Source organism: Homo sapiens, chromosome 13, assembly GCF_000001405.40.
Source record: "Homo sapiens chromosome 13, GRCh38.p14 Primary Assembly".
Lineage (NCBI taxonomy): Eukaryota > Metazoa > Chordata > Mammalia > Primates > Hominidae > Homo > Homo sapiens.
In genome coordinates, this window is record NC_000013.11 from 73,728,593 (window position 1) to 73,755,266 (window position 26,674).

Consider the following 26,674-nt stretch of genomic DNA (forward strand, 5'->3'; position numbering starts at 1 on the left):
GCCACCTATTCCTAGTGTACTGAGTGTTTTCATTACAAAAGGATGTTGGATTTTGTCAAATGCCTTTTCTGTGTCTATCAAGATAAACGTGGTTTTCTCTATTAATGTGGTGTATTACATTGATTTCCACATGTCAAATCAGCCTCGTTTCTGGGGTAAGTCCCCCTTCTCATGGTAGGTAATCCTTTTTATATGTTGCTGGACTCAGTTTGCTTGTAATTTGTTGAAGGCTTTTGAGTCTCCACCCATAAGGGATACTGGCATGTAGTTTTCTTGTGAGGTCTTTGTCTGGTTTTGGTTATTAGGATAATGCTGGTATCAAAGAATAAGTTAGCAAGAGTTCTGGGCTTCTCATTAACCTTGGGCTTCATGGCACCATGTTTACACTAAGATCCATTCCTTACTATGTCAACTGTTCCCATTTGCTGATATTTGTAACCTCAGTTCTGCTTTTAGTCCACTTTGGCAGAGCTGCTCTTTATTATATTTTTATGCTATCAGCCCTGCTCTTACCTAGAACTTTTCATATCACTAAAGTTTCACGGCCATGATGTCCACTGAATACACAGACCTGGCCCATCCCTATTTACCTGTGAAGAAAGATCAAACAAGAACTTTGCAAGTTTTAAAGTATCATGTGTTATTTACTTTCCCAGATTCACTCTTCTGCATTATTGGCCACACACTGTCTAAAGTTCTCAGGATCTGAGCATATTGCTAGGTATTTCTGTTCAAATCTCAAAGTGAACTGTACTGTTTACAATACTCTCAGTGTATACTGTAAAATACTGCATGGTATAATAATGGCTTCTATAGCACCAAACATAAGCTTAGAAGATTGTCAGAAAAAGTACTTGACAGCAGGCAGGGTAGGTACTGTTACTGGCAATCTTACAGCTGAGAAATAGGTGAGGAAAGCATAGCCTGGAGTGGTTAATTGCTAAGGAATGATAAATCTGAGAGCTCTTGTCTCTACTCCTCTTCCTACATTTCATCTTTCCAAAATCTTAAAAATGTCAAGATGATAATGTTAAACCTCCTGTACCATATTTATTGATGATTAAATATTATATGCACTGTTGGTTTTTTAACATGGCTTTTTCCTGCTGAGAAAATCAGTAACATGAGAGTAGTAGATTAGTAGCAGTCAGCTGTGTAGGTATTTTTCATCTTAACAGTAGTGACTCAATAAAATACAATAACAATTATTTTCTGTAAGTTCACCATAGGGAAGCAAGTGAACACGCAAAGGCATCCTTAGCAACTTGATAATCTAGTAAAGTGTAGAACGTGGACAGCTCTCCACCTCAAATGAATGAAAAATGACTCAAATTTTTGCTCAAATCTACGACATGTGGAAGTGTAAAGCCTCCTTCCCAGCCCCCTCCAGGATGTATGTACATTTCTGGGACTTTAGTTCTCAGAACGACCTTGGCCTCTAGCATCAAGTTAGCACCTTCTTCAAGAGCACCTTCTTCAAAAACTACATAAACCCATCTGAGGGTCTAGTAAGCCCTCTCTCCAAAGACAGATGCCGAGGGACTCCTGGAGCTTCACTATCTTTGCCCGGTGCTCCTTCTGTCTGTAAAATGCTCTTGACTGCCTCTGTGCTGCTCACTGGTCTCACCCAGCCTCAGGCTCTTTGCATCTTGCTGGGGAGCTCTCAGCTCTCTTCTCTGATTTCTTACTCCACCCCCATCTCAACTGTACGCAAAAGAAGAACAACAGCTTCATTCCTTTGGCAAAAGTATAACAGCTTTGCCCTCCAAAAACCTTGGTGGCAGGTTATATCCAGGTCCCTGGCTAGGAAGTACGGGCAGGGCTCAGCTCATAGTTTACCTCCAAGCCTTTCAGAGGGCACGTTTTCCACACCAAGAATTTTGTTCTGGAGGAATCTGGTGCCAGCTACTAAGATGACAAAAACTCCCCCCAACTTATTATATATGTAAATAATAATTATATCAGGCAAAAAATGATATGTGATAAAGAGAGGTGTAATGAAGTGTTATGGGAGTCAAGGGAGGGGGTGTCTGATTCTGTTTGGAAAGTCAGGGCAAGCTTAATAGAGGACACCAACAAATAAGTCTTGAAGAATACTGGTATGTGGATGTGTCGGTGGTAAAGAGAAGGCGGAAGAGAGAATTTATAATTATGGAGATAAAATAGCTCACAGTTAATCTTAATACCAAATTGTCTAACAAACAGGGTTCCTAATGGGTGGGTGGGCAGAAGAGGATGATATAGGGCAGACAGGATGACCAGGGCCACGTATGACAGACTGAATGTTTCCTTACAAGAAGTTCAATGTGTAGGTCCTGGAAGTGCCATGATTTTGTTTTGTTCTGTTTCGTTTTTTTAGTTTTAGAAGGAAAATTCTGGCTTATGACAGTAAGCTTCCACGGTGAGAAGGTGATTAAAGTCAAGGCCTTTATCAATCACTGAGCTATCTATTGCCATCACTCAAGTAAGTGGAGTCTACCTGAACCAAAGTAGTGTCTTTAAATATGAATCAGAGGGGACCAATTCCAAGGAATTTCAGAAGTAGAACAGTCAGTTCTTGGTAACTGATTGGATAACCGGGGATAAGGGCGAGAGAGGAGCGAATGGTGTCCCCAGCAGCTGAGCATGGATGGCCAGGATAACATCATTAGCCAACTTGGAGTCCACAGGAAAAGTGCCAAGATAAAAGCTAATGATTAAAATTAATCTATATGTAAACAATACATTTATGTTTAAATGACAACCGAGTAGCACTTTCATTTGCTAGACAAGTAATAATTAAAAAAATAGTAGAAACTAGGTAATAAGGAAGTATTTCCAGAAATAACTTAAATGGATTTTATAAAAGAAAGCTCATAAAATAAACTTAATGGTAATGGAATTTCATTAAATGTTGTCCAATGTGTAATTCTAAAGGCCGGGTCCATGGTAGAGGAAATTAGACAAAAAAAAAAAAAAAAAGCATAGTTTTTGTTTATTCAGTCATTTAACATTCATTAAATTCTTTTAGGGATATTACTAAGTTTATAGTTGGCAGTTTACATACTTGATGACCTAGGTGATTGCTTTTCTGATTGTTTTTAATTATAGGAGTTTGTTTTTCAGGACCTCAAAGAGATGCACTTAAGTGGAGGGAAGGACAAATGGATGAAAGAAACAAGTTCTAAAGCACAAACTGTGGCCTTAGGCAGCCTGCTGAGTGTTTTACATATGAGAATAGCTTGAAAGAGTGAAGGGACTGAAAGATGTGAGTTCAGGACTATCAGAGGAAGAATCTTACCAATGCATTTTTAGCTATGTCTTAGAGAAATTTAACACCTTTCCTAAGCTTTGGTTTCTTTTCCTATAAAACAATAGCATCTATACTTTGTGGGGTTATAAAAAGAATTAGGGTTATGAAAATAAAATACTTTGCGTAAGGAGGTAAATATTTGGGAAATGACTGCAGTAACTGCTGTTTCACTTTGTGTTAACTGTAATTATTAACCCTATTTTTTTTTTTTTTTTTGAGAGGGAGTTTTGCTCTTGTTGCCCAGGTTGGAGTGCAGTGGCGTGATCTCGACTCACTGCAACCTCCACCTCCCGGGTTCAAGTGATTCTCCTGTCTTAGCTTCCTGAGTAGCAAGGATTACAGGCACCCACCACCACACCTGGCTAATTTTTTTTTTTGTATTTTTAGTAGAGACGGGGTTTCACCACGTTGGCCATGCTGGTCGCAAACTCCTGACCTCAGGTGATCCATCCACCTCGGCCCCCCAAAGTGCTGGGATTACAGGCATGAGCCACAGTGCCTGGCTGTTTAACCCCATTTTACAGATGAGAGAGAAATCTGGGGTTCAGTCATGTTAAGTAACTCACCCAAGAACACAGATAATAAGCAGTAAGAGCTGCCTTATGGGTACTTGTTATTCCAAGCACCTGAAACAGTGGCTGGCAGAGGAGTTGCTCAATAGATAGTTGCCTAATATTAAGGAAAAACATCTCACATCACACATCTGCATACCCCCTTCCCTCTTGACCTCTCAATGTTGGAGGTTCCCTGAGCTCAGTCCTCCAGCCGTTTCTCCTTTCTGTTTCAACTCTTCCTTGAGTGATCTTGCTCATTCCCATGTTTCGCATGGTGTGTTTCATATACCTTTTTGTATGTCACTCAAATCTATTTCAAACTCTCCCTTCCCTGAGCTCCAGACTCGTATATCTTTTAGGCCTTCCACTTGTGTGTCAAGCAGATAACTCTAACTTAACATGCCCAAAGCTGAACTAGTGATGCTTTTCCCCAAACCCACTCCTTTCCCAGTTTTCCCTGTCTCAGGAAATAACCACTTCTCTCCTGGCAGTCCAGAACAAAAACAGGGGTCCCTCATGATTATTCTCTTCTATAGCTTATACAGGACCTACAGGCTCAACCTCTAAAACGTATCTCAAATTTGAATACTTCCATCTTCACTGCCATACTCATCTCTTATCTGGCTACCTGCTATAGGATCTAACTGGAATCCCTGCTCCCACACCCTTACTCCTTCCCCCCAGTCTTTTATTTGTAATTGTAATGAAATATACATAGCATGAAATTTACCCCTTTAACTGTTTTTAAGTGTACAATTCAGTGGCACCAAGTACAGTCACACTATTGTGTAACCATCACCAATATTTACATGTAGAGCTTCTTCATCATCCTAACAGAAACTCTGTTTCCACTATATATTAACTCCCTGACCCCTCCCTTCCTTTAGCCCTGGTAACCTCTACTATATTTTTTGTCTCTATGAATTTGCCTACTTTAGGTGCCTCATATAAGTAGAATCATACAATATTCGTCTTTTTATGTCTGTCTGTCTTATTTCACTTAGCATAAAGTTTTCAAGATTCATCCACATTGTAGCATGTATCAGAATTTCATTGCTTTCTAATGCTGACACACACACACGCACGATCATATACACACATGCACACTCACACACACACTTTATCCTTATTCATGGATGACAGATGGGCATCTAGGTTGTCTCTACCTTTTGGCTATTGTGAATAACGCTGTTATGACCAGTATCTGTTTGGGTCCCTGCTTCCAATTTTTTTATACCCAGAAATGGAATTGCTGGATTACTTGCAATTGTATGTTTAACTTTTTAAGGAATCACCAAACTGCTGTGCATGGCTGCTGCACCCTTTTACATTCCCACAAGCAAAGCACAAGGGTTCCAATTTTTCTATACCCTCACTAACACCTGTTAGTTTCCTCTTTATTAATAGCCATCCTAACAGCTGTGAAGTGGTCGCTCACAGTCTTCTCAATAAAACATATGATGTCCTTTCAAAACCCCAGTGGTCTCCTATTTCACTTAGAACAAAGCTTAAAGTCTTTATCATCACCTATAAGGCGCTCTAGGAACCCTGAGATCTCTTCATTCTGTTGAGCGTCCTCTGCTCCGCCACAGTGGCCTCCTAACTGTTCTGGAACATGTCAAATCCATTTCAACTCAGTGCCTTCACTCTTGCTATTCTTCTGCTTAGAATAGTTTCTCACCATTATCACATGGCTTTGGCCTAATTCATGTCTCTGACCAAATGTCACTTCTTCAGACATGTTCACATCTTTAGATGTCACATCTGAAGATGTTCTTCAGAGAGGACATTCCTAGCACCCAATCTAGATAGCCTCTCCTGACCCCTGCACCACAGCTTCTCACTGTCTATTGCTTGCTTTGCTTCATATACCTTATCATTCTTAACATTATATGGTATATTTATTTGTTCATAATCCATCTCTCTCAGCAGAATGTAAGTTTTATGTGGCTGGGGGACTTTTTATTCATTTTTGTGTCCCAAATACCTAAAACAGTGCCAAGCAAATTTAAGTACTAATTATTAAAGGCAGGCAAGGTTATCTGTTGATAGAGGCTTAATAGTTTGAGATTTTTATGGTAAAGAATCTTAACCTACTTATTTTTATAACTTTCATAATAGATGGCAAAAGATTCTTTGATATCTGAAAATATTTTTAAAATGTCTTTTCTTCCTTTTTTGGGGGGGTGGGGGAAACATGATTTTGCTATTATCTATTGGTCAGTTAAGGAAAGAAACATCCACTGATATTCTGAATAATAGCAATAATATCATTAAGCATTTACTTGTGCCCTGCACTGTGCTATGAAGTTAATATACATTATGTCTGATTTTCACAAAATTATATCGAGTGTTTTCATTTTGCAGATAAGAAAACTAAGGCTCACGAAAGGTACACTGCCCGAGATGACATAGCAAGTAAGTGGCAGGTCAGGAATTCCAATCAGGCACTGTCTGACTCCAAAGGTTATTGCTTATTCCACACACCATTCTGCAAGAGGTAATACTCAACAGTTTGGAGGCCACAGAGAATTATATCCCACAATCTCTCCCTTAAGGACCATGCTGGCTGGGCATAGTGACTTACACCTGTAATCTCAGCATTTTGGGAGGCCAAGGCGGGAGGATCACTTGAGCCTAGTAGTTCAAGACCAGCCTGGGCAACATAGCAAGTTCTCACCTCTACTATTAAAAAAAAAAAAAAAAAAAAAAGCCAGCTATTGTGACACATGCCTGTGGTCCCAGTAACTTGGGAGGCTGAAGCAGGAAGGTCGTTTGAGCCCAGGGAGTTTGAGGCTGCAGTGAGCTATGATTGTGCCACTGCACTCCAGTCTGGGTGACAGGGCAAGACCCTGTCTCAAAAGAAAGGGAACATGCTGTTTAGTTAGTAGTATGACAAAGCATTTATCTACATGTAATTTAAAAGATATCATTCAATACAATGGACAACAAAAGTCGGTGCCTCCATTATGTTCATGGTAATTAGAGGGATTTCGAGGAAGATGTCGCCCCCTAGGGGCTCTGGTGGTCAGGAAGTCATCCTGGAGGGAGTGGGACTTGAGCCAGGTCGTGTCAAGTGGGAATGGGCTGAGCGAGGCACACAGGAAGTGAAGAGGGTCACTCCAGCTGTGGGAACCACCTGAGCATTGGCCTAAAAACAAAAAGGAGTGAGCAGCATTTGGTCAAAAAAGGGTAAAGTGATCTACTTGGAATTCACAGCTTACTTCTGGAGGAGTTGAGGAAAAGGAAGAATGGTAGCTCATCTTCATCAAGCACTTAGTAAATGATATCAAGCACTGTCTATTTGCTATGTAAGTATTATGTATTTAATCTGCAGAACAACTCTATGAGATTGATACTACTGAGTTACCCACGTCACATAAAAACTGAGTCTAAGGGAGAGTCAAGGGTGCACAGTGAGAGATAAGGATGCATAGGCCAACTGGGTCAAGATTTTGAATGCTGCGACCAAGTACTTGTCTTTGCCCTGTATGCACTGATTTTCTTTCTTTCTTTTTCTTTTTTTTTTTACCTGCTTCAAGTTTTACCATGTTTTAATAATAACCAGTTGTACTACCCAGGTATGACATTAAAATTCTACCAGCTCCTCTCTCACCTATGCTATCCTGAGTAACATGGATCTAAGTATGCTTGCATCAAGATGAATCTCCTAGTCTCCACTCATTCTAGACTGTCACTCCTAAACCCTACTAACTGAAATTCCTTAGTTTATGCCTCTAACTCACCTCTTGGTTCCTCCATTCAAGGACTTATCTCCCAGCCATCAAAATCCACATAATGTAATTCATTTGTAGAGAAAATGACTGTGGAGTTTGAGAACTGTTTCATAGATGAATGACATTAATTAAGGATATCATCTCTAGAAAGCCTGGAGTTTCTGTAAATTATAAACTATTCATCTCAATTCAGACAGTTAATTATCAACATAATAAATATTTGATTCTTCCAGCTACCTATATAAACTATAGTATTTTAAAACTGTCTGACTCCAAGAGTCAGTAAAATAATCCCTATACTAGAAAAGTCACCATTTTATACTTTCTCCCCCATTACTTCTCATAATTTCCATACAATTACCTAGTATCAGGTGATATGTGTCTGCATATTAAAGATCATATTGTCAAGCAGGAACTTTAATGTATCACCAAGCATTTGCTGTGCTTATGTAACAGGTAATGCGCAAATGCACTCATGATGCATATTTCGGCTTCCAAATAACAACCCAGAGTTTGGTTGTCAGATGGGTTGCTTCCATGCAGGGTTAATGGGGTATGTTGTGGTCAAGTGTTCAAACATGTTTAACATCATCAGTGCAAGTTCAGGTTTATTCAAAGGGCAGGTAAGGTAGAAAAATGGAGTATTGATGCTCACTCTGAAAGAGAATGACCAAAACAAAACCCAGGGGAAAATTACATACTAATAAATATACTCCAACATATATTATGGTTTCTAGTTTTTATTCAAAAAATTTAGAGCCATAAATGAAATATTTTCTTAATTTGCAGCTCTCTTCATTATATACCAACTTCAAAAATACACTGTGGTTCTGATGAAAAAGAGTACGTACCAGTGGATTTCTGAGATTTCTCTCCCTACTTTCCAATCTGTGCAATTTATTTTTTTCTTCTTTCTTCTTACTAGATTACCTGAGGGCAACTTCTGAAGCCTTGATTCAAAAAGCTAATGTGCTCAGAAGCCTAACAAGTCACTATGGAGCTTAATGTATTAAATGTGTTATTGGCAATGCAGGGGAATTCTATTAATTTTATATTTTATATCCTGCCCTTTCTTCAGCTACAACTGTAGCCTTTCTTTGAGTCACAAATTAAAAAGAATTTTATCTGGAATCAGATTTATTTATTCTTCAAATTTACTTCACTAGTTACTAAGAGGCCTTTTCTCAACATTCTTCAAGGGTCCTTACAAATGAGTGTCAACAATGGGAAAGTGTTATTTTCGTGTAACCCTGGATAAGTCATTTAGCAGCCCTGGATTCCAGTCTCTTCATCTGTAAAATAAGACAGTGGAACTAAATACTCTTTCCTGCCCTTTCAGGTCCTATGATGCTGTGATTCTAGTATACTAAAATGTTTTAGACAAACACTGAAGTTAGATTTATCATAAAATACCTGTGAATCAGGTACGAAGTTCATACTAATTAGAATTTAACTTTCCTTGATTACTGGGCAATTAAAATATACTTTAATATAGAACAGCAAGGCTCTGACATTTTCTAATCCCATGCATGAATATTATGGATATGTGGAAATATACGAAACTGTCTCATTTAGGTATATCTAAAAGCTGATTTTCACAGCAAGAAGATTAGCTAAAGAGTATGTACACTATCAATAAGAACTAATTAAGCATTTTCTTTAGAAAAAAATTCTCTCAGAGCCTTTCTGAAGAAGACAAGATTGGCCAATTGCACTTTGGCACTAATACGTGACTGTAAACCAACAACATCAAAATATGTGAAGATTACATTCTGGCAGATGTGAGAAACAGCTTAATAATTAAAATCAACATAGTTTAACTTCCTTAAATACACTTCATTCAACAAACACACACACACACACACACACACATACGTGTGTATATATATATATACACACACATATATGTATGTGTACATATATATATATATATATATATATATATATATACACACACACACATATATATACACACACACATTTTTTTGAGACAGAGTCTTGCTCTGTCACCCAGGCTAGAGTGCAGTGGCCTGATCTCAGCTCACTGCAACCTCCACCTCCAGGGTTCAAGCGATTCTCCTGCCTCAGCCTCCCAAGTAGCTGGGATTACAGGTGCCCACCACCACGCCTGGCTAATTTTTTTTTTTTTTGTATTTTTAGTAGAGAGGGTTTCATAAAGTTGATCAGGCTGGTCTCGAACTCCTGACCTCAGGTGATCCACCCGCCTCAGCCTCCCAAAGTGTTTGGATTACAGGCATAAGCCACCATACCCGGCCCATCACATATTTTTAAGTTCTTATTCTACTGTTTTTCCATGTATTTTGTGAAAAATCGACAAGTAGTAAAAGACACTGTCTCTGATCTTTCGAATCTCAAATCTGGGTAAGTAAATATGTATTATGTTTGGGGAAAAACAACAACAAAAGTCAGGCAAAACCCAAATATGAGTGACTATGGAGAAATTCAGATAGAATCTATGCATGCTGAGGGATGTAACATGAATGGTAAGATTACCCTAAAAAGGCTGTGTAGGTGAAATGTTATAAAGAACAAAGACCATGATAAACATAGCCACAGTGATTTTCATACAACTTCCACTGATGACTGTTACTTCTGAAGTGTGGACTGCCGGCCATCTGTTGAGGTTTACAGTTAAATGCCTGGTATTGCAGTCAGATTACCAGGCCCCACCCATCTAACTGTGCCACTATGGACAAGTAACTTAGGGCCTCAATGCCTCAGTTTCCTTTCTATAAAACGGAATAAATAACGTACTTGGCTGGGCGTAGTGGCTCATGCCTGTATTTCCAGCACTTTGGAAGGCCGAGGTGGGTGGATCACTTGAAGTCAGCAGTTTAAGAACAGCCTGGACAACATGATGAAACCCTGTCTCTACTAAAAATACAAAAATTAGCCAGATGTGTTGGTGCATGCCTGTAATCCCACTACTCGGGAGGCTGAGGCAGGAGAATTGCTTGAACCCACGAGGTGGAGGCTACAGTGAGCCGAGACTGTGCCACTACACTCCAGACTGGGTGACAGAGTGAGACTCTGTCTCAAATTAATAATAATAATAATAATAATAATAATAATAATAATAAATGTACTTGTCTTAAAGGGTGTGGAAAGGATTAAATGAGTTAACATGCAAAGCATCTGAAGCAGTGCCTGGTAAATACCTTAACAAATGTTTTCTTAATAAATGATTTCTCACTGTTCCCCAATTCTGGGCTGGGAATATATTAAGGTATTGTTGTTTACCTCAAGGGAAATTGCAAAAGGGCTCAATTCAGTTTTTAAAAAATGTATGTCATATAGCTCATGTAAGATGTAGAAGTGAAGGCATAAAATCAATAAAAAAATTAATGAGTATTATATCTCCATAAAGGTTGGGAGTCATTGCTCTGGGGCAGAGGCTGGAGAAATGAGCATGCCCATGTATGTCCTTTATTCCACTGCTGTTATCTGACATTCTCTAGAGACTCTATGCAGCACTAGAGTCTCCTTTTTTTTTCCTTCTAATTCTAGGGTAAGTTCACAATTGTTGGCCATTAATAGCTTCTGAATCGTTCTTGCATTTACATAGACATGATGATAAATAATCAGAGAAAACATTAAGCTAGCTTTGCCAATGATAAAAACATTTGTAAATTTATCTGGGTTTAGCACATTCTTGGATAATTTTATCTTTTAAACAAATTGTGTAATTTCCAATTCCAAATCACAGTTTTTCCTTTTAGCACAAACATATTACCTTCTGAGGTGTGTTAATTAAGTGTAACAAGAAGCCTTCCTAGAAAGCCATGAGAAGGAACTGGACCACTGTAGACAGTTGTGGGGTGCTATGGTCTGATGTTTATGTCCTCCCAAAATTTCATACATTGAAACTGTCTCATTTAGGTATGTCTGAAAGCTGGTTTTTTAAATTTTCACAGCAAGAACACAAGTTAAAAAATAAAGTGAAGGTATTAGGAGGTGAAGCCTCTGGGAGATGATTAGGTCATAGGGGTGGAGCCCTCATGAGTATTAGTGCCCTTATAAAAGAGGCTCCAGAGAGCTGCCTTGCTCCTTCTACCATGTGAAGACACAGTAGGAGGGTGAGGTCCATGAACCAGAAAAGCAGGCCCTTACCAGACACTGAATCTTTAGGTACCCTGATCTTGGACTTTGCAGCCTCCAGAACCACGACAAATAAATTTCTGTTATATGTAAGCCACTCAGTCTATGGCATTTTGTTACAGTAGTTGAAAAAGACTAAGACACAGGGTAAACCTGCTTAAGCATTATCACAGAAGATGATTTAGGAATAGGCATGTCATGGATCCTTTAGTTTATTTTTATTTTTAAATAGAGATGGGGTCTCACTATGTTGACAGGCTGGTCTTGAACCCCTAGCCTCAAATGATCCTTCCATCTTGGCCTCTCGAGGTGCTGGGGTTACAGTTGTGAGCCACTGCACCTGGCCTAGTTTTTAAAAATGAGTTCAATTCTTGATTTATTTTTTCAAAGCAACTATTTAGACTTTCTTTGCCAAATGTTCTTTTATCTCAAGAAGCAGGAATCAGGGAAAGCATTCTTCCGACACCCTCTAGGAGTCCTGCGGGGAAAGCATTTTGTGCTCTAACATATGTCTCAGTTTTGGAGCCTCTGTAGCATGTCAGTGTGTGGGCAGACTTGGGAAAGTGCAGCAAGAACAGCAGAGCAGTCTGCTCTGGCAGACAGTATCACTTACAGATGCAAAGCCCGCCCAGTGCTAACGCAGTTTACACACCCTGAAGACAGTCCTAAAAATTCCAGGAGCAAAAGCAAAACAGAAGACACAAAATGAGACACAGTCTCAAAGTGCTAACGGCATTTTCACATAATACTTTAAGTTTATAATAATGACTTTCATTTCTATAACATCGTTCTGCTGAAGAGTTAAATATCCTCTAAAGACGTTTTATTCATTTTTAAAGTTACAATTCATCCTGACAATGTTCCCATGGAACAGAAGGAAATTTGACTGCATCTTATAGGAGAGAAAACCCAAAACCCAATTAGATGAAACACGTCGATGTGATGAGGAAGCACGACTGGAAAGCTCACATAAGCTCTGCCGTGGCAACCCACGATGCCGCCCCCATACAAGGGAGCCTGCCAGGGTTGTTCCCTGACCCCGGGAGAGCTACACCAACAATGCTGTGAAGACCTACAAAAGCTTTAGGTTGGTAAGGTATTGCTGTGGTTTCAAAGGCTTAGATGCTGGTTTCCTTGCTAGGTAAGAAACCTTGCTTTCAGATTTACAAAGAATTATGGCAAAGATTTCTACTGCAATCTGCCAGATCCCAACTATTTTTACAGTTCTTAGGCCAATAACACATTCTCTCTGAATTCTATAACAGTGTTTTTGAAACCACATACCATGGAACCTTCAGAGCTTCAGGGTCACTCATTTGAATTATTTCAATTTCAAGTATGTTAAGGCTAATCTAAGAGGATTACAACCCTCATCTCTGACTTCCCATCATGTTTATCAATAGCTCCTTTGGAGCTATTGTTTTTGGAGGTTGACTTTACACTAACAAGTTACTGCTCTTATCTTTTAAAATATTCTATCTACAGTTAAGTTTAAAAAAATGTTGTTTTCAAAAAATCTCCAGAAAATTGTGAGACTGGTTGCTCATTTATCATTTCACAAATATTTATTGAGCACTTATGTGCAGAGTGTAGCACTAAGCTCGGGGGATGCAGTCATGAGTAAGGTGGGGACTATCTCTACTGTCATCTGCTATGCATACAACAAAGATCACCAACTGACAAGAGACTTCACTTTCCTGCAGTCACTCACGTTGACCTTTTACAAGAGGCTGAAAAAGCCTACGGATATGGTGAGTTTTAAGCCCAACCTGCTGAGGAGTCTCTTGTTTTATGGTTGTTGAGCAGAGTCAACAAAGTCAATTTAATAAAATGCAGAGTATTTAGAGATATAAGCAAAGGGAAAAAAAATAAAAGCAAAGGGCAGCGCTTATTTACATTTTAGATTCTTGTATTAGATTTGGAGAAGATTCTTGAATATTTAAGGTGTCCTGTAGAACATACACTTTTTTTTACTTAGGAAAGCAGAAAATTGTAAGAACTGAACCAAGTCTCTGAAATTACTTCCTAGTTTTACTTCAGTCAAACCTGAGCTCAAAATATAGAGTGTATATAAATTTCAGTCTATAGCTAGAGGATTACAAATAGTAATTTTCCTTTCATTGAACTTTTTGGTATTCAAATCTTAATAGTTAACAATATTTAACAGTTATAGAGCAATTTAATGTTGGCTAGATACTACGCTAAATACTTTACATGCGTCATTTTATTTAATTCTTCCAACATCTAAGATGATGGCATTATCATTCCCATTTTACATTCCCCTTCCGCCCTGGCCCCTCCCAAATCTCATGTCCTTCTCACATTTCAAATGTATCATTTTATTTAATTCTTCTAACATCTAAGGTGGTGGCATTATCATCCCCATTTTACAGATGAGTAAAATAGAGTTTAGGCAGATTAAGTAGATTAAGTTTGACCTTCTCTTTAAGATAGAGGTCACACAGTAGAAATGTTACTACATCAACCGCACAGTGCTGAGAAGATGAAATGGTGGGACATATACTTTTCAAATGAGAGCTCAGGTTTACAACTTGCTCCTTCTTTTAAGAAAATATTACAGCCACAAGAGAAAATAATAAACTATCCCATGAAGGACTTGATATGGCTCAGCCTCCCACTGCTCAAAGGAAAGGCTGTTCTTCAGTTCTTTAATGTCAACCTCTCATTAAGTCAGGAAGAGCCATAGGTTTGTGTTCTCTTCGGGATTAAAAAAAAAAAAGGGAGCCTTTAGTCTCATCCCTTTCGTAGTCTTTTCTCTTACATAAGAAAATCCTGTTTCTGTTAGTTCCTCCACTTAAAGCAAGAGTTGCCGCAAAGGCAGCTGAAAGCAGCATGTAACATATCAGATGGACTGAGGACATCATGTTTATTTAACGGTAGATCCTCTTTCCTCAGCTCTGGGCTGCACTCTATTTCCAAACTTAGGCTTGGCATATGAGAAAACTGGGAGTGAGGAGTTAGGCATATTCATCTATGAATAACATAATCATTACATGTGCTAGGTGGTGGTGTTATTACTCACTTTTACAGAATATTGACAGAGGGGTTTAACATTACTTCTCTCAGGATCAACTCTTCTTGTATAGAGAGTCTAAAATTCTGCTGTCTGATCAGTGCTATCTTATATAAAATAACTATTGATCTGAGATCCTGAAAGCACCGTAGAATATGGCTTTGCCTTAAGACTTACTATACAATTACATAACAAGTTGAATGTACTAGAAATTAAGGCAGGGTTGGGGGAGTACTAGAAAAAAACGTTCTCCCATTCATTAAAGTTACAAGGAAACTTCTTTCAAAATGGCTCCTAGAAAACCTCTGAAAAGATATAGCATGCATATTACATTATATGTGTGGGTTTATGTGTATTTATGTAGAGTTGGAAAAAGCTGATCCAAGAAGTAGATTTTAACTCCGCTTTGGTATCAGCATGCTTCAGAACTATTTCAGAATAATCACCTTATTTTTAAAAGTTCTGCTCATCAGTGAGAAGAACCAAAGTTGTGGTTTCTAAGAAAGTTACGCTTCCAGGAAAGAGAGAAAAATAAAATGACTAAGAAGTACATGGAGGGCTCTTATCATTTACTAATTCCTTGAGGCAGGATTCTATTTCAAGCAGTCCAGGTAGAAGAAACTAATGTATACCTTTAAAAAAGTTTTGAGAAGTACTTGCAAGAACTTTAGTGACCTCTCCTATTTATTTGGAAACTCTTCTTATGTAAGAAAAGTTCTACATCTACAAATATTTTTCCATACCTCAAACAGACCCAAATGCCAAGACCTATGGCATCTTTGAACTAAAGTTAAATACCGCTGTTAAGTCTGCTTTCAAATTCTCCATCTACAAATAAGAATTCAAGTCTGACTTTGGGTAGCATGGATTGGATTAGGAGATTCACTGCTAAATTTGGAATGTGAAGATCTAGATGTGCCAGGGCTGTTGCAAAGTGGCTTTGTTCCATAGGACAAATAACTGAATTTCTATTTTGGAACTTCAATTTCATCACTGACAAAATGGGGTCAATACTACCTATTGTGAATGTCGCAAGGGTTGGTTGTGAATTTCTCATGAGGGCATGGATGAAAGGGCGTTTTGAAAGGGTGAGTGTAGGTCTCCTGCAGGAGGGGTCTTTTCAAGATAGGCCTTTATAAACCCTTTAGGCACGCTGGTGGTAGGAGCAAAAAGCAGGTGACTGGGGCCTGTGTGATGGACATCCTGGAGCCTGGGTCAGCTACCCAGGGGGTGGTCTAGTAATGGGGGGTTGTGGGGGGTGGCAGCAACAGCAAATGAAGCCAGAAAAAGCAACACAGGAGGAACTGCTATAGAGCCCCAGGGCTTCAGGAGCAGGTAGGTAGACACTGAGGAGCAACGCAGGGAAGGAAAGCCTGCTGCCTAGGATGAGCATGACAAAACGATGCTCAGCACTTGCCAAACCTGCATCAGGACATGAAAAAATAAAACTGCAAGGTGACGTATGCATGTCTACGCATAGGTGAGCATACGCATGTCTCTACATTATTAGGGTTCATTAATTTCTGATGGTGGCTAGTTGAGTTTACCTTTGATGAAGGCTAGTGTGTCAGAAAAGAACTCAACATTCATGCATCCTGGTGTTAAATTCTGAGGCCATGGTTGCACTTTCTAGTTCTACAGAGCCTTCTAGTGTTAGCCAGCTGCACTCTTTAGACCAAGGCCTGCTAATGTAATCAGTCACTTTTATGAGTACCTAAAATTATAGCTGCTAGGTACCCATTAAAATAACTTATTTATTCATTTATTGTTTATAAGAATTTGTGGTTAATGCATCCGTATTCATTGTTTAAGCCGTGGTTCATTACCACACATAACTGCAGGATGGGGTTCTGTTTTGCACATGTGCTCTTTGACCACCTGGGGACATAAGAGAACACATATTACAAATGCACATACATTTAAAGCATATGTTTTAGGTAGGAAAGAGGGGACGCTACTCTTATCCAATTGCAACTAAAATCATGACGTTGTGAAAGAGCTCACTATGAATGGAGTTGTGTCAGTAGCTCAGAAGTAGGCTCTGGTTTTCCTCCTCCAGTGTATTAAATCATTTGACATTTAGGTCACCTAGGATGAGGACTGAAGGGCATGCTCTAACCAGTACAATTGTAACCATACATATTTATAAATATTAAAGGTAATTATTATCCTTAAAATATATCTAACAAATGTCAACCCAGATTGTGACAAGGACTGAATTTATATTTTGTAAAAGTATCACATGTGATAATTACTGTTTTTCACACACCAGGTCAAAATACTAAGTGTAAAAAGAAAAAGAAAATGCTCCTTTGTTAACACTTGTCATTGTTCTGCACGTATGTAATTTCTAGAATCAGAGGCCTCCAAATCTATTAATAATCACAAATTTGCAAAAGCTATGCATTATTTCAGATAACACCAAGCAAAAATAGCACCAAGATTCTAATTTCACTTAATGATATTTTCAAGATACCCACCAGTTTGAAAGCATGCAAGTCAAGGGTATACCACTAAATAACTGAATCAGTAACTGTGGAAAAAGTTAAATGACGTATCATTTTTACATTTCAAGGATCGTAATGTCCTGCAAAATACGTAGTACACACCATCTGCATCGGGCAAAACGCTGTCAGATGCTTTCAAAATAGGTCTCTGGACCCAGAGAGAAATCAGCATTCTAATGACATTTCACAACGGTGTGGCACCTGGCTGGTAAAGATCTACAAAGGAAACCACCAAAAAAAAAAAAAAACTGTGCATTGCCACAGTTAGAAGTGTGTATATGTACATGTGGGCAAACAATGCAGGGACTATATTAATTCAATTATATTTTGGTTTCTTCATGTGATAAAACACACTAAGAGAAGTATTAAAGAGGTAAAGCAATAGATATCGATGTATTTAAAACTTACAAATGAAATGAAACAAATATGAATTTTATTATCTCAAACAAGGCTAACTCCCAGGGCCAACATATGATGTAATATCTAAATATGTTAAATTGGTGAGGAATAGAAAGACCAACCTGTGACAAAGAGGCAATGCTGTCTTTATAAAAGTCTGTTAACACACAGCCGCAACATAACTTTACTAACTCATTCACCATAGCTTGAATTCTCTTCCAAAGACAGAGCTCCTTTAGATACCTTTATATTCTTTATATATTTATATTTACATATGCCGTTATATTCTCCTTTAGATACCTTTATATTCTTCCAAAGACAGAGCTCCTTTTAGATACCTTTATATTAATTCTGAGCATTACTATACTGCCTGGCACCTAGTAGGTGCTCAAAATATGTCAGACTTTCAATTAGCTCATTATTTTAATTGAGTGAAGTTTGATAAGAGTCTTAAAACATTCTATTTTATTTAAATTTTGTGTATCTTTCTAAAAAAATTAAGAGTGATTTAATTATGGAGTTGAAACTAGAAGAATTAGCATATTTCAGTTTAAAGCCATGCCCCTCCCTCCCTCCTTTTTTTTTTTTTTTTTTTTGAGATGGAGTCTCTTGCTCTGTCGCCCAGGCTGGAGTGCAATGGCACAATCTTGGCTCACTGCAACCTCTGCCTCCCTGGTTCAGGTGATTCTCCTGCCTCAGTCTCCCAATTAGCTGAGATTACAGGTGTGTACCACCACACCTGGCTAATTTTTTTGTATTTTTAGTAGAGATGGGATTTCACCATGTTGGTCAGGCTGGTCTCGAACTCCTGACCTCAAGTGATCCACCTGCCTCAGCCTCCTAAAGTATTGGGATTACAGGTATGAGCCACTACTCCTGGCATTTTCTTTCTTTCTTCCTTCAAATATTTACTGAGTGTCTACTATGGGCCAGACCTTATGGTAGGTGCTGGAGACTTATAGTCTAAGAGAGGCACACATACTTCCTTACATGCACACAATTGAGGGCCATGACAAAAAGACATGGCAGGGATCCAGAGGAGGAATGAAGAACCCAGGCTGCCATCAGCAAAGAGGTGAGTGTTTTAGCTACGGAGAAGGCTGTTATCAAGGGAGAATATGCAAAAGGAAATGAAACTTTGAAGAACATGAACATTTAAAGGGTAGGTAAAGGAAAAGGACTGAATGAGAAGGACGCAGTAGATATGTCAAGGTTAGCTTAGTTATATCATATTGGGGAATTGAGTTAACCTAGCTCTCAAATTGTATTATCTATTAAAGGGTCAAAGTACATTTTAGCTAGTAGATTACATAATTAATGTTAGCTATGTATTAGTCATGGCTGTACATAAATGAGTCTTGCATCCCCTTGTAATAATAGTCAACACTTATTTATTGCGTTTGGTAAATACTGTCCTTTGAGCTTTATATGTAATATAGTGCATTTAATCCTCATGATAACCATGAAACAGGTATTATTAGCAAGCCCCATTTTACAGATTAGGAACCAGAGACTCAGAGATATAAAATAACTTGCTCGAAGTTACAGAGTTAATATATAGTAACTGAAATATGAAAATAGGCAGTCTGATTTATTGATCCCTACTCTATTCTTTCTCTTTTCATTTTAAAGATTAAAATAAAACTGTTTTTCAAGACATGTCACAGAATGGGTCTGAGAAATAAATAAAATGGTATCTATGAACTGTGTGAAAACTGTGAAAAGCTTAAGAATGTAAAATATCATTGAAAGGTGGTTCTAACAAAGTACAATGTCCATTTCTGGTGAAAACTGACTTCATTGTTTCCACTGGAGGGAAGTGTTGAAAACGATGAATTTGTGGAGAATCACTTTGGAGACTCGCCTCTATCACCAGAGGATGAATTATTTACCACCAATATAACCAGGCACACCTGGGAGCAAATTACTGATTCCAGGGCCCATTTGTAATCCCATATCAGATTCCTTTGTCACACAGAAGACAAAGTCGGACTGAAGTGATGTTTAAGTTTTAAGGGAGCTGATATCAGAAGTTGGTATTTTAATAAAAATAATATTATATATGATCCTTGTCTGTCCAGACCTTTAATCTGAATTAACAGTTATGGACTGAATGTCTGTGTCCCCCAAAATTCACACGTTGAAGCCATAATCCTCAATGCAATGGTATCTGGAGATGGGGCCTTTGGGGATTATTTAGATCAGGTCATGAGGGTGGTGGGGCCCTTAGGATGGGATTAGTGTACTTTTATAAGAAGAGGAAGAAAGATCAAAGTTCTCTTCTCTCTCCACTTTTTGAGGACATAGAGAAAAGGTGCACTCTGCTAGCCAGCAAGAAAGCCTTCCCCGGGAACTGAATCACCAGATGGCTTGCTGTTGGACTTCCCAGCCTCCAGAACTGTGAGAAATAGTCCTGTGGTTTTAGCCACACAATCTATGGTATTTTTTTAATGGCAGGCCAAGTTATGCCAAATACATTTAAATTTTAATATGTGGAGCTCTGGGAGATATATTTTTGTTGTATATTACCACAGAGGAAATGATAGTGAAGAGTTTGATGATTTGCTTAACGCCAAAAGCCAACAGCAGGTAGAATTTGAATCTGCATCCTTTGATTCCAAAGCTGTGCTCTTTCCATTGAGTTGTTTGGACTCCTGTTCTTTATATTTATTCACCCCATGTCAGTTTTAAAGGCCTTGGAAAAGTTACTAGAGAATAAAAGCCTATACATTCAGTACTTCAGAGGCCACATCTCCCTCTGTGGCCAATTAACACTCGATTTACTTTGATGGTCATTTCCTATAGAGTACCTATGTTCAGTTTTTTATCATTAGAAGGCCCTTTTCAGTGTGTGTTCTAAGACCACGGGCCCTCAGCTTGCTACAATCCTAGGGGAGGCCCAGCTTCTCAGCCCTCAGAAAGATAAATGGTTTACCTCTTTATACCAACATGGATTGACACTTTGCACAATGCCACTTAAAATTCAGTACCTGCTGATTCAGCTAAGAGATTAAAAAGAAAAAAAGATATTTATTCTTTGTTCATATGAAAATGTCGTATGCATTAATCCCATTAAACAACAGAGCCTGCATTTAAATCTCATTCTAAATCCTATTTCCAGAGTTTTAATGTTTGAAGGTGTTTGTGTCTTCAAAGGTGTGACAATTAAAACTAAAAGACTGATCTTCAAATTCATTAACATACACAAGAGACAAAAAGCCAACAAATTAGCACAGCCAAAGGAAAAAGATTTTTAAAAAAATAGCCACACAAAGCCCATCCAGGGGGTGATGCTTTTTTATTGGACTAATTGCAAGGAAATATAAAAGGGTAAGCTTTTACTAATCAAGCTCTTTTCACTCAGCCATGAAGAACTGCTAGGCAGAGCAAGCAAAGAGACAGGGTGTTAATGTAAGCCTGATAATTAAATTCAGGATCAAGTGGATCAGAGGGAAGGCCAAAAACGTAAAAATCAGGTGGAGGTAAGAATTAGAATCCCAATCTTTTATAATACTATATGGATTGTCGAAAGAAGAAGAGAAAGGAAACTTATGAAAGTTGGTTTTTTCTTTCTAAAGCATGAATAAAAGTGGTTATATTTAAAAGAAAAGTGAACAGTGACAATACTGCAGAGGTATTTTGTAGCATCCTGCCTTCTGTGACATAAAGCTCTTTCCTACATACTCATCTCCATTTATTTTCACATAATCCCTGTGGAAAGAAACAGGCAAGATCAGGCATAAGGGACTCAATCTTGCCCCAGATCACATAATTAGAGAGTGACAGAACAGGTCTAAAATCTTAGCTTCTGAAATTCAGGTCAGTAGTCACCATTATTCTTCAAACATTTTGTCAGGCATAACAACGATAAACAGAGAAAGGGCAGAAATGATGTAACCAATGTTTAAAGATGTCTGTAATGTGAAAATATGTCTTGCTATCCTCTGAATTTGAGTATTTCTACTTTTCTGAAAATATTGACTAAGGAATGGGAAACAGCCATCAAAATGTGGAAAGGGAACCACCAAAGTCAGGCGGCAGAAGTTCTAAGTTCTAATCCTAGCTCCTGTGCAAATTTGGACAAAATCATTCAAACTCCGGGCTTCAGTTTTCCTACCAATAGATGAGGATAGTGGAAGAGATGTCTTCATTTCACTGATCAATATGCCTTGAACCTGCTGCCACATGTGCTGTGCTTGGAGCCAGGCAAGGACAGCCTTCATACTGGAGGGCCTCAGGCTTGAGGAGAAGGTGGAAAGAACATTACACACGGGCCAACAAATACAGTAAATCATGATAAAAGTGATGCTATGCTCCATATGGTGGCATTGGATCAGAGAGGAAGAAGAGGCTGATGGGTGGGGGGACTGCAGGGAAGTCTTCACAGAAAAGCATTTTTCAATTTAATTTTAAGTTCTGGGGTACATGTGCAGGACATGCAGGTTTGTTACATAGGTAAATGTGTACCATGGTGATTAGCTGCACCTATCAACCCATCACCTAGGTATTACGCCCAGAATGCATTAGCTATTTTTTTCCTGATGCAGAAGAACATTTTTAAACTGAGTTTTTGAGAATTAGTTTCCTTGGTGATCAAGCTGTTTTGGGAAATGTAACAAGTTCAGTGTGGCTGAAATTTAGGGTCCACGGGAAGATGGAAACAATTTGTGAGAAGTGAGATGGAAAGAGTTATGTGATGCAAAGGGCCTCATACGTAGTGTTAAGGGCTTTGGACTTCTAAATCATGGCACACTACCACAGAGTTGTAAAGACAGGAGCAATCCCATTTGCATTTTATAATAATCACTGTAGGCATGGCAATGATTGGATTCAGAGGAGGAGTAGAAAGAAGTGAATCTAGAATTCCATGGTGTATATGTGATACATTTTCTTTATCCAATCATCCGCTGATAGACACTTAGGTTGATTCCATGACTTTACTATTGTGAATAGTGCTGTGATAAACAAATGAGTGCAGGTATCTTTTTGATATAATGATTTCTTTTCCTTTGGGTAGATACCCATTAATGAGACCCCTGGATCAAATGGTAGTTATATTTTTAGCTCTTTGAGAAATGTTCGTACTGTTTTCCATAGAGGCTGTATTAATTTACATTCCCACCAACAGTGTATAGGTGTTCCTTTTTCTCTGCATCCTTGCCAACATCTGTTGACTTTTTAATAATAGCCATTCTGACTGGTGTAAGATGGAATCTAAACAGACCTGTTCGGAGCTTAGGGTAATGTTTCAGGCAAGAGATGATGAGGGCATGTGGGGTGAGGAAGAGCCAACACTGCCAAGCAATATTTAGGAGGAGGAATGCTGGACTCATTTGATCAAATAAATGTGGGTTATGACAGAGTTGGAGTTACCATGAGGTTTCTAGCTTGGGTGATTTTGTAGACGAGGAATGAGAAGACTGAGGTTAGGGAATATGAACAGATAGAATAAATGGCTCTTCCAATGCTAAAGTCTTCTTGTGGAAGAAAGACATCAGGGTACTTGGTGTTTTGGGAAAATGGGCCCTCATATATTAAGACGTATTTATTCAGTTGAAGTCAGATATCTCACAGAGCAGTCCGGGGCTGGACATCTACTGGGGGTAAGTGGCATCATTTTACAATGGGCTGCTGACAGCATGTGCACGTGGGGTGAAGAAATTGGCTGAAACTTACAGGGTCCTTTGTACCCTGAGGACACACACAGGCAGCCTTAGATACATTCATACAGCTTCTGTCCAGTTTACCTATGGATTTATTTTATTTTTTATTTTTTACTTTTTGAGACAGAGTGTCACTCTGTTGCCCAGGCTGGAGTGCTCACTGCAAACTCTGCCTCCTGGGTTCAAGTGATTCTCCTGCCTCGGCCTCCTAAGTAGCTGGGAGTGCAGGCAAATGCCACTGCACTCAGCTAATTTTTGTATTTTTTGTAGAGATGGGGTTTTGTCATGCTGGCCAGGCTGGTCTTGAACTCCTGAGCTCAAGAGATCCATCTGCATTGGCCTCCCAAAGTGTTGGGATTACAGGCATGAGCCATCATGCCCAGCCACCTATTAATATTTGTGGCTCATCCACTGTACATTTTTACAGCCTTTAGTTAATGGTTTGCAGGCATTTTTACCTTCGGATTTTCTTCATCTCAAGAACTGTTCTGTCCCTTAACATCAAATAGACACACCCACACCACACACATGCACCCTGTGGTAACTATCATTTATATGCCAATGGCACCTACCTTTACATCTACGGACTTGCCTTCTGCTCTAAATTCCCAACCACAACCACCAGTTGCTCACACTAAAACTAGGTGTCATCCTTGATTCTTCTCTTCATTTCCTTCCATAAGCAACTGCTGTTTACAGTTTTCAGAACGCATCCTAGTTGCATCCACTTCTCTCCTTCTGTGGATACCATTCTAGTCGTGGCTAGCATGTCTTTCTCCTCAGCCACAGCCTTGGCTTCCTCACTCATTCCCCTGCTCCCTTCCACATATATATTTTTTTTTTTTTGACACAGAGTCTTGCTCTGTCACCCAGGTGTGGCACGATCTCAGCTCACTGTAACCTCTGCCTCCCGGGTTCAAGCAATTCTCCTGCCTCAGCCTCCTAGGTAGCTGGGATTACAGGTGCCCGCCACCATCATTATGTATTTTTTTGTAAAAAATACAAAAATTAGTACTGGCTAATTTTTGTATTTTTTAGTAGAGATGGGGTTTCACTGTATTGACCAGGCTGGTCTCTTACTCCTGACCTTGTGATCGACCCGCCTTGGCCTCCCAAAGTGCTGGGATTACAGGTGTGAGCCACCATGCCCAGCCTCCTTCCACACTCTTACAGCCCTTTCTCCAACAAGCTGCCAGACTAAGCCTGAAACATAAGACTCCACCACTTCACTCTCCTGCTCAAAGTCATCCGCGGTCCCCGTCCCACCCAGACTGCGGACTACATGTTTCTGCTCCCACCGACCTCTCTGAGCTGAGGTTGTTTCACGCTTCCCCTCATTCACTTTTCGTTCCTTGAATGTCCATGTTTGTTCCCATCTGAAGGCCTTTGTGTGAGCTGTTTCTAGCACCTGGAATAATGTGCCCAGACCCTCACCCAGATGGTTCCTTCCTGTCATTCAGCTCCCAGATGCCAAGTCACCTCCTTTCAAGAGGCATTTTCTGGCCAAACCCCTTGGATTGCTTTCTAGTCATCTCCAATCATATCCTCATTACATTTTCATCAAGGCACTTATCACTACCAGATGCTAGCCAGTTGTCACTCTTGCTCCACTACATGGTAAGAAGTGGGGGCCGCATTTGTCTTATTAAATACTGTGCCCCTAGAGCACAGAAAGTGGCTGGATCATTGCAGGCACAATAATTTTACTGAAGAGGGAACAGATGAATGAACACAAATATTCTGGAAAAGTGATAATGCTACCAAGTGTAAAAAAAAAAAAAAAGTCAATCTCTGGCAATTTCAAAAGATGATCAGGTTTGTAAGTGACATAGAACTTAAATACTTAAATTAAGGATTAAAATTAAATACAGGCTAGGAGAAAATAAAGAAGACAAGCAAGTAAAGGCCCACATGGAAGCTAGGCAGAGAAGGGGCTCGACTAATGCATTCTAAGGAAGCAGAAGGGTGTAAGATAGACAAGGAACACTCTGATTGCGATCCTCCCTTTCTAAAAGGTGTTGCTTGGATCTTCTTGTATTTTTTTGGAGCCCTTTTCTCCTTGAAAGCCATCATCAATAGCATTCAATCAAGCCTCCCACTCAGGAGAGGAGAGAGAGGCAGACATGGAAACTCACACACATATTCTCTTCATATTTTCTCACCTTTCTATGCCAATATGTTTTCCTTTAATGCTCCTGGAGGTACCCTTCACATAGAATACGATGTGAATAGTGCCCCCTGGGGTTGTGCAATATGGGTGTCCTGAAAAGAGAGAGTAGCAAGCCAAATGTGGCAGCACCAAATTTCTTGCTACCCAGGCTTCTTTCCATTTAAAAAAATGCTCTGACAATTTTTTAAAATGTTAGGGCTACATCTAATCAATTCCTAACACTCAAAATGAAAACAGGCTCAATTGCATATTGTTCTGGAGACTGGTGCTGCTACGTTTGTTTTTAGGTCTTGGCATAACTTAGGAGAGTCCCAGGGTCCTTTCCTCTGACTGGTGTGCCCGGGACCCTTGCCTCTCATCACGCAGGCCTCTCCTGCTGCTGGCCCTCTCCTGGGAGAAAGGAAAAGAGCATCAGCCACACAATTTGATGAGATCTGTAGTTTAGTGGTGCTTCTGAGAGTATATTTGAAAAAAGATAGCCAAGACTGCGGAAAACACATTCTCTATTAGCCATGGTAATGATGACTTCCAAATAACTGAGATTATATTGTACAGGATGAAGACTTTCAATAACTTAAGTTATTATGACCAGTAACAAGGCTACTGCTGGCAAAAAATGCAAAAACCCACCCAGGTCACCAAAATCTCATGAGGAATATGGAGACACTACTAATGGGGAGTGAAGGGAGATGGAATAAATCTCGTCTCACCTAGAGGCAGAAACTAAGTCACTTGGCTGCATTTCAGTTTAGGATTACATTACATCAATGTCTACTCAAGAATTTTTGAGTATTCACAGCACATTCTCAAAATTTACCAACTTTTACCTCTAGGTGGCAGCAACTTTCCTCTGTTCTTCACATGGTTGCCTTTAGCCTTTGTCTCCTACCTTTAATACAATTCCATACTTCCTTGTCTTTCACAAATAAATGCCTTATGGACTGTGCAGTTTGGGGAAGATTACTGTAAGTCACTTTCACTGTAAGAAATCAGTCCATTCTTCAGTTAAGCTACAAGGTTCTTCAAAGAGTACAATATAATTCAGATCTAAAGCGAAAAATAATAGGTATACCCTTTTCTTTCTCCATACCTATAAACTGCAAACTCTCAGAAAAGCAGCGTTTCTTTTTCTTTTCAGACCTCTGAGGAAAAAAGGCAATGAGTACAGGAATGGAAAAAGAGATGGAATTGGAGAGATT

At 39.2% G+C, this 26,674-nt stretch overlaps 1 protein-coding gene across 20 annotated transcripts in view, besides 1 other annotated feature; it reads right to left on the minus strand.

Annotated features, from left to right (window-relative positions):
* The window catches only part of KLF12 (KLF transcription factor 12), a 619,957-nt gene that overhangs the window by 42,504 nt on the left and 550,779 nt on the right, over window positions 1-26,674 (minus strand). The gene's annotated exons all lie outside the window — the stretch shown is intronic.
* Window positions 2,909-3,479: an enhancer, noted in NCBI's record as "OCT4-NANOG hESC enhancer chr13:74305638-74306208 (GRCh37/hg19 assembly coordinates)". NCBI's record gives its function as "activates a minimal SCP1, AML or CMV promoter by ChIP-STARR-seq in naive H9 embryonic stem cells {active_cell/tissue: H9 hESC(naive)}" and the evidence as "EXISTENCE:reporter gene assay evidence [ECO:0000049][PMID:30033119]".